The sequence below is a fragment of the Homo sapiens genome, chromosome 17 (assembly GCF_000001405.40).
Source record: "Homo sapiens chromosome 17, GRCh38.p14 Primary Assembly".
In the NCBI taxonomy this organism is placed as follows: Eukaryota; Metazoa; Chordata; class Mammalia; order Primates; family Hominidae; genus Homo; species Homo sapiens.
In genome coordinates this window covers 19,613,296-19,628,089 of record NC_000017.11, presented here as the reverse complement: position 1 = coordinate 19,628,089, position 14,794 = coordinate 19,613,296, and positions in this window count along the sequence as shown.

Here is a 14,794-nt window from a genome sequence, read left to right as displayed (position 1 = left end):
TGAGGAGCCTCTCCACCCGGCAGCCACCCCATCTGGGAAGTGAGGAGCGTCTCCGCCCGGCAGCCACCCCGTCCGGGAGGGAGGTGGGGGGGGTCAGCCCCCCGCCCGGCCAGCCGCCCCATCCGGGAGGGAGGTGGGGGGTCAGCCCCCCCGCCCGGCCAGCCGTGCCGTCCGGGAGGGAGGTGGGGGGGTCAGCCCCCCGCCCGGCCAGCCGCCCCGTCCGGGAGGTGAGGGGCGCCTCTGCCCGGCCGCCCCTACTGGGAAGTGAGGAGCCCCTCTGCCCGGCCAGCCGCCCCGTCCGGGAGGGAGGTGGGGGTGTCAGCCCCCCGCCCGGCCAGCCGCCCCGTCCGGGAGGGAGGTGGGGGGGGTCAGCCCCCCCCGCCCGCCCAGCCGCCCCGTCCGGGAGGTGAGGGGCGCCTCTGCCCAGCCACCACCCCGTCTGGGAGGTGTGCCCAACAGCTCATTGAGAACGGGCCAGGATGACAATGGCGGCTTTGTGGAATAGAAAGGCGGGAAAGGCGGGGAAAAGATTGAGAAATCGGATGGTTGCCGTGTCTGTGTAGAAAGAAGTAGACATGGGAGACTTTTCATTTTGTTCTGCACTAAGAAAAATTCCTCTGTCTTGGGATCCTGTTGATCTGTGACCTTACCCCCAACCCTGTGCTCTCTGAAACATGTGCTGTGTCCACTCAGGGTTAAATGGATTAAGGGCGGTGCAAGATGTGCTTTGTTAAACAGATGCTTGAAGGCAGCATGCTCGTTAAGAGTCATCACCAATCCCTAATCTCAAGTAATCAGGGACACAAACACTGCGGAAGGCCGCAGGGTCCTCTGCCTAGGAAAACCAGAGACCTTTGTTCACTTGTTTATCTGCTGACCTTCCCTCCACTATTGTCCCATGACCCTGCCAAATCCCCCTCTGTGAGAAACACCCAAGAATTATCAATAAAAAAATAAATTAAAAAAAAAAGAAATGATTTTGGATATATTGGGTTAAATAAAATATATTATAAAAATTAAACAAAAAAAAAATAAAAAAAATAAAAAAAAAAGTGTAGCAGTTCAATAAAAAACAAGATATCATAATCAGGATAGTTCAATATGAGGACACCAATTTAATAGTATTTATCTTCATGATAGACCTAAGGAGAAAAATTATAGAATCATTTCTGATAGCACTAAAAAGGCATCTGGCAAAATGCTCAACTATTTTTGTTTCAATAAAATAGACTTCATGGACATTTCCTGAACATGATTTCAAAAAACACGAGCACATACATTCATAGTTGTGTGTGTGTGTGTGTGTGCATTTTTTTGTTTTTTGTTTTTTGGTTTTTTTTGAGACAGAGTCTCACACTGTCACCCAGGCTGGAGTGCAATGGCGCGATCTCGGCCCAATGCAACCTCTGCCTCCCAGGTTCAAGCAATTCTCCTGCCTCAGCCTCCTGAGTAGCTGGGATTACAGGCGCCCACCACCAGGCCTGGCTAAATTTTTGTATTTTTAGTAGAGACAGGGTTTCACTGTGTTGGCCAGGCTGATCTCAAACGCCTAACCTCATGATCCACCCGCCTCGGCCTCCCAAAGTGCTGGGATTATAGGCGTGAGCCACTGCGCCTGGCCGTGTGCGTGTATTTCAACCTCAAATCCAGCATACCATTTAGTAGAGGAACACTGGCAGCACTATCACTAAAGTAATGAATAAGACAAGAATTTCCACTTTTACCACAACTTATTGTACTACTAGAGGCATTATGCCGGAAAAAAGAGAAGAGCAGTGCCCTCTTCTTCTCTTTTGCAATGCTTAACCAACAGGTATTGACAATTGTATAAATAAGTATTGAATCTGGCCCTCATTCAGAGGGCAGGACCATGTTTATTTTGTTTGCCATTGCATTTCCAGTGTATTTGTGTGGAGGAGGCACCCAATAAATATTGGGGGAGAAAATAATTTTTCCTATTAACACAAGGGCAACTTTCTAGTTGATTGCTTTTTTTTAAGAGTTATTTTGTTTTCTTGTTTCCAGTGGGGCTGGAGTCAATTGTTTTATATCTCAAGCAGTTTATCTTAATATGACAAGTGAGATTTGAGACAAGTCACAGGACTCAAACACATACCTATTATCCTGAGTTTAGTGGCAAACATCAGAGATACTCCAATGGGAAAACCAAAGACATAGTACCCAATGGCATTCAAGATAGCGCCAATGTTTTGTTTTCCTGTACCTCTCAGGACTCCACCACAGGCGCCCTATGGAGAGGAAAACCAAACCCAATGTTGCTGTCAAGTCTGTCATCATCACAAGGCTCAGAAATATGGATACAGTCAAATGGCCCTAACTCAAAACAGGCACAGCACATTATGTAAGAGAAAAAGGAAATCTTTTGTTTCTAAAGTTATATTAACAACAACAGCAATAAAAAACCGCAGCTCCTTTCATCAGAAACCTATCATAACATGACTTAAATCTCTAACTCTTTATCTTGACTATTTAAAAACATTTTGTAAGTTAAAAAAAGATGTAGAGGTTTCATCAATGGCATCTCTTCAAAAGTTAGCCTAATATCATGGCTGAGAAACATTAACGCCATTGCAGGCTTCTCATCCACACTTCTTACCACAGTTTCAATGGGTGCCACATCTTCAGGATGACATGGACAAAGTGCAAGAAATTCCATGGAAAAAAAGATGACTAATGCCTAGAAATCATGTCATGAGGAAAAAACTCAAACTGGGAAGAAGCCGGATGGGCTGATTCTGGGGTAGAGCAGGTCTTCAAACCCTTGTACACCCACAGATCAGCCTAGACAGGGACTTTCTAGTGGTCAGAGTCAACTCAAAGGTGGCGTGGCCTGCAGTGGAGGGTTCAAGCAAAGGTCACCTCACCACTTGGATACAACACCTGGCATTCAGGCACCAGATGAAGATAGAGGAGGGGAGAACTCACTTGGCTCACAAGCCTCTTCTCCACCTTGAGAGGCTACACTCTTTAATAAACCATCTTCCCCCAAGTGACTCACACTGTCTAAAGCAAGAGCTTTCTCTTTTTAAAAATAAAATCACCGACCTTTAATTTCTAATTAAAAAGCTAGAAACACAAAACAAATTTTGCTATCTTTATTAGAGTAAAATCACTCCAAATACTCACTGCAAGTGCATCAAATAGATGAAAAGGGGCAAAAATAGGTATCACTTGGCTCACAAGGGAAGTAATATCTCTGTTAGAGGAAAAGAAAGTAGTTAGTGATCTAAAAATCACATTAAAGTGGGGTATTAACTACTGATCTGACAAACCTGACAAATTTATCAATAAATTCAGTCAAAACAGTACATTTCTTTTTTTATAAAGTTAGTACATAATAAAACCTCACTGATTTAAAATTTATTATTATATAGAATTTAGGTTAAAATGGACAAGGCTGCCACTATAGAAGATAATTCTGAAAACTTTATCTGGATATATAAATGTGGGGATTGGGAAGAACTCGATTCAGGTTTCAGCCTGGGTGTGGGAATCATCCTTAAAAATGGAGTTGAAGGCCAGTATTCACATAGGAAGCATTTGCTTCCTCAGGGAGCCCCTGAACTCTGTTCAGTTATGGTGGAAGATCTGCCTGGGGAGCTCTGCAGAAAGATGCTGGGGCTCTGGAGAGGGACACAGCAGAGGTAACTAGAGACCCGTGAGATGGATCTAGAGTGGGTAAACACATGAAACAGGCCCAGTGCCCTCTCCCACTTATCCTACAGGGAAGCCCGCTGGTCAACAGGTACCACCAATTTAGACAGAGCCTACAGGACATCCTCTGACTCAGAAGAGTGACCTCTTTGGAACAGACCTACAGAACTGCAAAGTTACCTAACGTCTGCACTGTCTCCACCAATCAACATGGCAACACAGTCTTTCACTCAAAAATACAAATGTTCACAAAAACAAATGTTCACAATTGCAAAGATATGGAACCAACTAAGTGCCCATCAATCAATGAGTGAATAAAGAAAATATGGTATATATACACCATAGAATACAAGCCATACAAAAGAAATAATGAAATAATGTCTTTTGCAGCAACTTGGATGGAGCTGGAGGCCATTATTCTAAGTGAAGTAACTCAGGAATGGAAAACCAAATACTGTATGTTCTTACTCTTAACTGGGAGCTAAGCTATGTGAGTATGCAAAGGCATACAGAAATAATGGGCACTGGAGACTCAAAAGCTGGGGGTGGGATAGGGATAAAATAACTACATATTGGGTACAATGTATACTACTCAGGTGATGGGTACACTAAAATCTCAGACTTCACTACTACACAGTTTATCTGTGTAACCAAAAACCACTTGTACCCTGAAAGCTATTGAAATAAAAACATATTTTAAAAATAGAAAAATAAAATACATTTTCAACATTAAAAAAACAAAAACAAAAATACAAATGTTAAATCAGTGTTCACCAGACACTGAGGAAAATCAACAGCACAAAAAAAGGAAAGACCAAAATAAGCCTGCTAATACAACAGGAAACAAAGAATGCAAGGAACATGAGAGAAAAAAAATTTTTTTAATTATAATTACTATTATCAGAGACATTTATCAGCTAACAACAGGCAATTAAGGAAGAGGAGCAATTGAGAGAAAAGTAATTGGAAATGAAAAATATGAACACTAAAGACCTTTTTTTAGAAACTGGATAATGAATAGACATGGCTAAACTACATTTCAACTTGAAAGATAAAGTTGAAAAAATATCCCAAACACAGAGATAGAAACTGGGAGAAAAGAGACATGTCAGATTAATCCATACATTCTATCCTTTATCCAAAAAGAATTCCAAAAGGAGAGAACGGAAAAAAGGAAAAGGAGTAAAATTTTTTTTAAAGGGTAAATTTCCTAGAGCTAAAGAAAAATCCAATGCTTCAGATTGAAAGTCTACAAAATAGCAAGCAGAATATAAGAAAAAAGATTCACCCACACCTAAGCACACCCAGCAGAGACAAAAATAATATCTGAAAGATTTCCAGAAAAAAAAAATTTGTTCTACAAAAGAACGAGAGCCAAATCAGCATGAGAAGCCTCTATCCAGGTGACATCATGAACAACAGTGGAGTAGGAAGCTCAAGAATCAGTCTCTTGTGAGACTGATGGCGAGAGATGTCACAGTCAATGATTTTGGCACTCTGGAGGCTAGTGAGAAACTCGCAGTGAGCAACAAGGGGAATGCCTGAAGAAAGGGCCTGGTGATCATGGGTGAATTGCATTTCACATAGTGGCTACCTTTTCCCGTCTTCCAGTTCCGCGGCAGGCAGCTGCAGGGATGGCTGCCTGCATTCCTAGTGTGGCTTACTAGTGCCAAACTGGGCAATAAAAACCTTATCCTCTAAAAATTAAAGTTGTGTGTTTCGATCTATCTGGAGGTTCCACTGAGGAGCTGGCATAGAGGCCCTTTGGGATGAAGTGGCTTCACAGGCAGTGCCTGTCAAAAAAGCCAGCTTAACTTTCTTGTTAGATAAAGGCATTTAAGGAAATCCCTGCCAGATCATTCTGTCTTTGTAAAAACCACTTTGGAAAAATTACTAAACAAATAGACAAATAGCCCCAACAAACAAGAACAACAATGCCTGGAGAGAGATGAAAATCTGATTTCCAGTGTTTTCATATAACAATACTCACAATGTCCAGTTCTCAACACAAAATTACAGAGCATACAGAGACAGGAAGTATGGCCCATTCACAGGAAACACAAATTGGCAAAAATTGTCAGAATCAATTTTTTCATGGCTGACTGTGGTTGCTCACACCTGTAATCCCAGTGCTTTGGGAGGCCAAGGCAGGAGGGTCACTTGAGTCCGGGAGTTTGAAACCAGACTGGGCAACATAGTGAGACACTATCTCTACAAAAAAAATTTTTTTTTAAATTAACTAGCTGCACACAGGGGCAAGCACCTGTAGTTCCAGCTACTTGGGAGGCTGAAGCAGTAGGATCACTTGAGCCCAGGAGCTTGAGGCTGCAGTGAGCTGTGACTGCACCACTGCACTCCAACCTTGGTGACAGAGCGAGACCCTGTCTCTTAAAAATATTTTTTTTAATTTAAAAAAATACAATTTTTTTCCCAGATTTTCAGAAATTCACTAAAGGGAATTGGGAGCATTTATTTAAGAAAGGTGGCTGAATCTTGGTAAGAACAGTAAGCATTGTGGTATTTTAACTTACCCTAATATCATCCTGTTGCTCCTAGCTCAGCAGTAACCTTGAAAAATAACAGTTCCAGGACTTGAGGAGGAAGAATGGGTTGAACTCTTTGAAAGCCCTATTCCCAAGGAATAGTTATTATTTCACAGACAGATCATCTGTCTGGTGGTTCCCTAGAAGACCCCACTTGAAAGGCTAACTTTATTTCACCTGATTCAAACCTGCCCAGTGCTAAAGTTGATGTTGAGGGATGTTTGTTGAAAACGTATACGGGCAAATGTTTTAGCTGCTGCTGCCTGATACAAGGGATACACAATAAACTCACCAAAAAGCTTAGTAGGAATGGCTGGGGAATGAAATGTCTGAGGGGCTTTGCAAAGTTCTGACATATTCTGGGGAATCTAGAAGGCCATATGCATGCTTAAGACTGTGCCCCTGCTCAAGGAAGACCCATTAAGGCCTAAGCACTCACTTCTGGCCGAACTTGAGACTCTGCACAAACAGGAAGTGAAGTTTAAAACCAAGTTGTGGCTGGACATGGTGGCTCATGCCTGTAATCCCAGCACTTTGGGAGGCCGAGGCGGGCGGATCACGTGAGGTCAGGAGTTCGAGACCAGCCTGGCCAAAATGGTGAAACTCCGTCTCTACTAAAAATACAAAAATTAGCTGGGCAGGGTGGCACATGCCTATAGTCCCAGCTACTTGGGAGGCTGAGGCAGGAGAGTTGCTTAAACCTGGGAGGTGGAGGTTACAGTGAGCTGAGATAGTGCCACTGCACTTCTAGCCTGGGAGACAGAGTGAGACTCCATCTCAAAATAAAAACAAAAAACAAAGTTGTAAACTGCCTCACTGAGTGTTGAAGGTGTTCCTCAAAATGCACAGAGAGTCCCTTGGCAAAGAATGGGAGATATTTGGGATTCTAAGCATTTGAGAAAATATTTCTCCAATAATTAGCTGACATTAAGCTAACAGAACAGGGACTTTAGTGGCTATATTTGGCAAATAATATAGACTTTACAGAATTAGTCCATAAAAATCACTAAGCAAACAAGCAGCAACAGCAAAAGCCCCTAAAGAAAAAGACAATCTGACTTCTAGAACAGTGGCACTGTAATATTTAAAATGTCCAGTTTTCAACAAAAAACTATGAGTCATGCAAAGAAACAAAAAGATACAGCCCATACACAGGGTAAAAAGCAATCAATAAGAATTCTCTCTGAAGAAGCCCAAACATTGGACTTATCAAAAAAGACTTTTTTTTTAAGAGAGACAGGGTCTCGCTCTGTCACTCAGGCTGGAATGCAGTGGCACTATCCTGGCTCACTGCAGCTTTGAACTCCTGAACTCAGGAAATCCTCCTGCCTCAGCCTCCTGAGTAGCTGGGACTACAGGCACATGCCACCATGCCTGGCTAATTTTTAGTTTTATTTTTAATTTAATTTAAAATTTTTATAGAGACAGGGTCTTGCTATGTTGCTCAGGCTGGTCTCAAACTCCTGGCCTCAAGTGATTTCACCTTGGCCTCCCAAAGTGCTGGAACCATAGGCATGAGCTCCTGCACCCAGTCAAAAAAAAAAAAGACTTTAATTCAGCTATTTTAAATATGTTGAAAGAGATAAAACTACATCTAATGAAGTATGAGAATATTGTCTCACCAAATAGATGCTATCAATACAGATATATAAATTATTTTCCAAGAGAACCAAATAAAAACTATGGAGTTGAAAAGTACCACAACTGAAGTGAAAAATTCACTAGAGGGCTCAAGAGCAGATTTGAGCCGGCAAAAGAAAGAATCAGCAAACTTAAAGATAGGATAATTGAGATTAGTCTAAGGAACAGAAAAAAAAGGTAAGAAAAGTGAACACTGATATAGGGACCTAGAGAACACAATCAAGTATATCAGCATATAAATAATGGAAGTCTCAGAGGTGAGGAGAGAAAGAAAAAAACATAAAAATATTTGAAGAAAGAATAACTGAAAACTTTCCCAAATTTGATGAAAGACATGAATCTACATATCCAAGAAGCCCAACAAGCACCAAGTAGGATGAACTTGAGGAGGCAAGGTCATTTGCTGACAGTGATGGTGGAAGGTGGTAGGGAGGGGCCAGTGGTTTTAAAAGAGTAGAGAAGGTTTAACATGGGTTGCAGAGATGGACGGTGAGATGACTAAACAAAGGTAGGGCAGGGTGCTGAGGGTCTAATTATGGTTAATGGTCATAAGTTTCTAGTGTAACCAATATGAAGTGATTGGCTATTAGTACAGAAAATGTGCAACTGGGTTCCTCCAGGATGGAGTTCTGTCATTTAGAAGGGTCAAAAGAATTCAGGTTACTGGCAAAAGAGTTACTAAAATGATGAACCATACTGACTAAGCTACATAAGGAAGGAAGTAAAGGCAGGAATGTGGTAGATTGAGAAAGAGTTGTCAACTGACTGGGAGGCCCAAGTGGTTGAAGAAACCTCTTAAGTAGACATAGCTATAAAAGTATGCTGGAAGGATTAGGGATGTGGCCAGTTAAAGGGCTGAAGTTGGAACAGTTATATGCAATGAAAAAGCCCAAAATATGATCACGGAGTGTGTGCCCAAGGTAGGGCAGGAGAAAGTTACTGGAGAGAGGACTGGGGAGTTGAGGTGAGGGGCTGGGGCATTGAATGTCTTCATCTATATGGATGCTGAGTTCACACAGGATGCTGGTAAGATTTGAGGGTGGAAAGACTGTATGAAGGTGCTAGGGTTTTACATAAAAGAGGAGGAAATGAAGATCTAAAAGTGTATATCACATGTACAGGTGCCACTAGCTGGAAAGGATAGGACATACTGTCACTGGAAAAATTAGACACCAAAAATGTCAAGATGACTAGAAAATAAGAAAAAAACAATTAATGGGTCCAAATGTAGGATTCTGCACTTGGGCTCAGGAGGACAACCACACAAAGGAAGGGTGGTGATGCTGTGGCTGGTCAGTGGCACATTGGCAGGTCATGTGGTGTAGCCACCAAAAACTTAGTACTTCCCTAGAAGTCTAACGGGTTCTGCTCTAATGGAAATGGTTCTTCTCTAAATGGTGCTGTTTGTACTATGGACACTGCCTTCAGGCTTCTGTTAATTCAAGATGAAGATGGTAGAGACTCAAAACCACATTCCATGAGAAATGACTGAAGGAATTACAAATGTTTACCATGAAGATCCTGTGGAGCATGAGCCATCATAAAAACACCCATAGGGCAGTAACTGAAAAATGGACAGACTCTCCTACAGAATCATAAGCCCAACAGCTAGTATCAGTGGGTGAAAGTTATGGGTAGGAAAGGTAGGTTTCAGTTCAAAAGAAAAGTGTTCTGAGAATCAAGCTGCATTGGGAGGTAGCAAGTTCCTCATCAGTGAGTTAATTAAGTATAAACGACAGCTTGGCCAGGATGTTCTAGAGGAATCCCAAGGTCAGATCAGTGATTACATCAAATAAATACCCTTTTAGACCTTTAATCTGAAGATTTTATCAAATGTGGAAAGTTTTTTGCCATTATTTCTTTAAAAAAAAAGTATCCTGCCCCTCTTCCCTCTCCTCCGCTTTGGGAACTACGTACGATTATGTGCTTTTAGGCCACTTACAACTTGCTCATTTTCATTTTTTTCAGTCTTTTTTCTCTCTACATTTTATTTAGGATATTTACCATTGCTGTATCTTTAAATTCACTAATCTTTTCTTCTACAGTGTCTAATCTGCTGTTAATGTCAACCAATGTATTTCCACCTCAGATTTTTTTGTTTCATCTCTTGCAATTCAATTTGCTTTTCTTTTCATAAATTTGATATCTCACTTTAGCATGCTCATGTTATTCTCTATTTTCTTAAAGATTAAACAAAATTATAGAAACCATTTTAGTATTCCTGAGTAGTAATTTTATCTGTTCATTTCTGGGTCAGTTTCTATTGATTGATGTTTCTCTTTATTATGGATTTTAGTTTATTATTTCTTTGTATGCCTGGTAATTATTAATTGGCAGACATTGTGATTTTTACTTTGTTGGTTACTACATATTCTTGTACTATTTTAAATGCTCTTGAGCTTTGATACAGTTAAGTTCTGTGATGCAGTTGCTTCCTAGAAGCAGTTTGACCTTCTTGAGGTTTGCTTTTAAGCTTTGTTAAGCAGGACCAGAACACTCTTTATTTTTAGGGCTAATATTCCTCTACTACCCAGGCAAAACCCTCCTGAGAACTCCACCAGCTGTCTTATGTATTACGAGGTTGTTTCATTCTGGATGTTGGGAACACAAACTCTTCCCAGCCCTTATGAACTCCAGGGATTGTTTTGTCTGCTCCTTTCAGGTGTGTCCCGCTGGCTTCCAGTAGCATCCTCACATGCACATCCAGTTTGGTAGTCAGCTAGACTTGAGAGAGCCCCTCTGTGGATTTTTTTTTTTTTTTGAGATGGAGTCTCAGTTTGTGGCCCAGGCTGGAGTGCAGTGGTGTGATCTCAGCTCACTGCAACCTCTGCCTCCTGGGTTCAAGCAATTCTCCTGCCTCAGCCTCCCAAGTAGCTGGCATTACAGGTGTGTGCCACTATGCCTGGCTAATTTTGTATTTTTAGTAGAGATAGGGTTTCACCATATTGGCCAGGCTGGTCTCAAACTCCTGACCTCAGTTGATCCACCCACCTCAGCCTCCCAAAGTGCTGGGATTACAGGCGTGAGCCACTGTGCCCAGCCAAGATCTTGAAAGCACTCCCTCTCAAACTCTCTCCTCTCTGGTCCCCTGCCTTGTGAACTCAAGTCACATGGCCTCCCAAAACTCCCAACTCCATTTCTTCATCTCACAGAGATAGCAGGGCTTTCCCTCTTCCTGTGCTATGGCCTGGAAACTCTCCCCTAGTACACTGGGTAATCATAGTGTTCTCTCATTTTTTTCCCCTCTTTGGGCTGCCTGTTGTCCAATGTCTGAAAACTTTTTTCTTTTTTAAGATAAGGCCTTGCTCTGTCACCCAGGCTAGAGTGCAGTAGCATAATCATGGCTCACTGCAGCCCCAACTTCCTGGGCTTAGGTGATCCTCCCACAGAGCTGGGACTACAAGCATGTGCCACCACATCTAGGCAATTTTTGTAGTTTTTGTAGAGATGGGTCTTGCTATGTTGCCCATGCTGGTCTCAAACTCCTGGCCTCAAGGGATTGAAAACTATTTTAAAATATATATATATATTTTAATATATATATATATAATGTACATATATACATATACATTTATACATATATACATACATATATAATATATACATATTATATATTATATATACATACATAATATATACATATTATATATTATATATACATACATAATATATACATATTATATATTATATATACATACATATATATACATATTATATGTATGTGTTGGCCAGTTTTTAGTTGTTTAAAGCAGAAAGGTAAATCCAGTCCCTATTACTCCATCTGATCACCTCCTTGGTCCTGAGATTTTATAAGAATACGTTTAGGCATTGGTCTAAAATCAGTGAGGTCAGATGACACTAGGAAAGCACACTTGAAAATAATAAAACTGGGCCAGGCGTGGTGGCTCACATCTATAATCTCAGCACTTTGGGAGGCCGAGGCAGGCAGATCACCTGAGGTCAGGAGTTCAAGACCAGCCTGGCCAACATGGTGAAACCCCATCTCTACTAAAAATGCAAAAATTAGCTGGGTGTGGTGGCACGTGCCTGTAATCCCAGCTACTTGGGAGACTGAGGCAAGAGAATTGCTTGAACCTGGTCTTTAGAATTATTTCAGTAGAACCAAGTGTAACATTATTTAGTTGGTTTATCATTAACAGAAAATCATAATTAAAAGCTTTATTTAACTTTGTAAATTTGAAAGAGCATAAAGAATAGATGTTTTAGTTGAATATATATATATGATTCAATTCCTAGAGAAATTCTGATACATAGATTTTAACTTAGCACACTAAGTTCAGCACAGATGCCAGGGAGTAGAATGCTTGACTCACCAGCACACAGGAGAACTGTGGTGCAGGAGCACCAAGCCTCCTCTACATTCCCTTCCCCCAGAGCATTGCCCACTCGGATGCTGGCTGCAACTCCAAGGCCCAGGGGTACCTGAGAATTAAGAAGCATAAATCACAGTCGTAAAGCCTGAACATTGGAGTATTAGTGCACTAGCGTCTAACTAAATGGAAACAGGACAGACCCGGAGAGCTGAGTTCTAGAACTGGCTCTCTTACATCCTAGCTGTGTGACTGTGGACAAATTGCTTAGCCATGTGACATCCGATTTCTTTGCAGGTAAGGAAGCATGACAGTTGCCCTGACGGCTCCCTGTACCACATTCATCACAGCAGAACCTCGTAATGAAGCTGGATTTGAGGGCAACACACCCCCTTTATTGGCTACACACACACTATCAAGACAATTCAACTTAGCTACATTATACAAAGTAAGATTTAACTTAGTATAAACGTTAGTATACAAATAATTTGTAAAAATTAAATGACCCATGTGAAAAAGCATTTAGAACCGCGCCTGGCACACTGTAGGAACCCCAGACATTGATGAAATCTGACTCCACGACAATACCTCGTTTTTGGTGGGATGGGTGAAACATTCCATATGTCTGATTATCCGGTAAATTGAAAGAGGCCCCTTCAAATGCAAAGGCTTAATTTTAATCATTGATTATGAAAATCTAAAGCTATAAGCTTATTTGCTTCTTAAATAGACCACCACTCAACCTTTGGGGCCACCTTCTTGACCCCTATCATGATCCTGCAATACAATGCTGCCCCCAGGGGCTGCGAGGGTAACGTGGGTTGTACAGACAACTTAGCTTTGGGCTCTCAAGTTCACTTTTAATCACTCGTACATCAGCTCTAACTTCTCATTCCTACTAGAAACAGCATCCTCCCAAAAGCCTTCTAATTCATTACTGTTTTGAAAACTAGCCTAAGTTCAGTTGATAAAAATATATATTAAATTGTTAAGATTAAGAACTTGAGGCCAGGCGCGGTGGCTCATGCCTGTAATTCTAGCACTTTGGGGTGCCAAGGCTGACAGATCGCCTGAGCTCAGGAGTTCGAGACCACCCTGGGCAACATGGTGAAACCCTGTCTCTACTAAAATACAAAAAACTAGCCACGCATGGTGGCACGCGCCTGTAGTCCCAGCTACTCGGGAGGCTGAGGCATGAGAATCGCTTGAGCTCGGAAGGCGGAAGTTTCAGTGAGCGAAGATTGTGCCACTGCACTCCAGCTTGGGCTACAGAGTGAGACTCCATCTCAAAAAAAAAAAAAAAAAAAAGAACTTAAAAAAAAAAACAGACCTGAGTATGAGTATATAAACATCTCTTAAGATTTGCATGCCTAAAGTACACATAACTGGCTTCCAGTTCAAAATGAATGAATCACATGCCTAACTCCCTTCCCTCCCAAAACACTGTTAATGGAAAATAAATCTCCATGCTTAATAGAAAATAAATTCATTAACAACACTGAGAATGAGAGCCGGTCAGCTTCTGGAAGAGGGAAAGCAGGCTCCACAGCCATGATCCAAGGGCAGAAACGCAGGAAGCCACAGCACAGAACATGAACAGAATGCTGCCTCACACTCCGTCTTCCCAGTAGAGCTCCAGGAGCACTGACGCCCTGCTTCCCCCCACCGAGGCTGTGAAGAAGAGCAGTCAGGGAGATGCGCCACAGGGCTGGGACAGGACACCCAAGCCCCGCGACCTGCCCGTCCTTAGCCTTACTGCACACAAGAAGCTGGGCTGACACAGAAAAGCCAAGTGTGGAGCTTCCTCCGTGGCGTGAGTCAGGCCCTTCTTCTTTTGTTTTGGGGGATAGGTGGGACATGGGGATAAGGTGGGGCAGGAGGTCAGGCTGCCTACTGCCTAATCCTCACCCATAAGTCCTAAAATGAAGATGTCACTGGACAGGTACCACCTTGGTACCGAGTTCCCCACTGGTCCTTCCCATTTTGGGGAGAGGCCTGTTGGAGAAAAATCTCCAAATAATAGGAGAGGAAAGCTATGCCGGCCATTTGTTTGATAAATCAATGTACTCATTCATTCCTAAGTATAAACAGACTAGTAAGATCACCAGAGCTTTGAGGAAGACTGAAGCACACATCCCCAAAACAGATAAAGATAAGTAAAAGGTCAACTGATCTCAGAGAAAATAGATGACTCAAGGAACACAGAAGAACGTTTAAAGTTCCGATTTAGCATCCACAGGGATATTTAAAAGGTAATGCAGCATAAAACAAGAACAGGTTCCCATAAAAGAGACTATAAGACAAAAAAAAGATGTTCTTAGAAATTAAAAATGAAACTAAAAAAAAAAGCAGCAAAGAAGATAAACAAAAAGACAAAGAGATATTTTTTAATAGAAAAAAAAAAGCCAAAGCCAAGAAGATTAATTCCCAAGGTCAACCTCCACCTAATAAGAAATTTAAAAAGAAAGAACAGAAAAAAATTTACAGAAAAGAGGGAAAGAATATTTTTTAAATTTCCCAGAGTTGAAGAAAAACACAGGTCTTCAGACTGAAAGGGTATACCAAGTGCTAAGCAGAAGTTAAAAAGTATCCTCAGAGAAATGC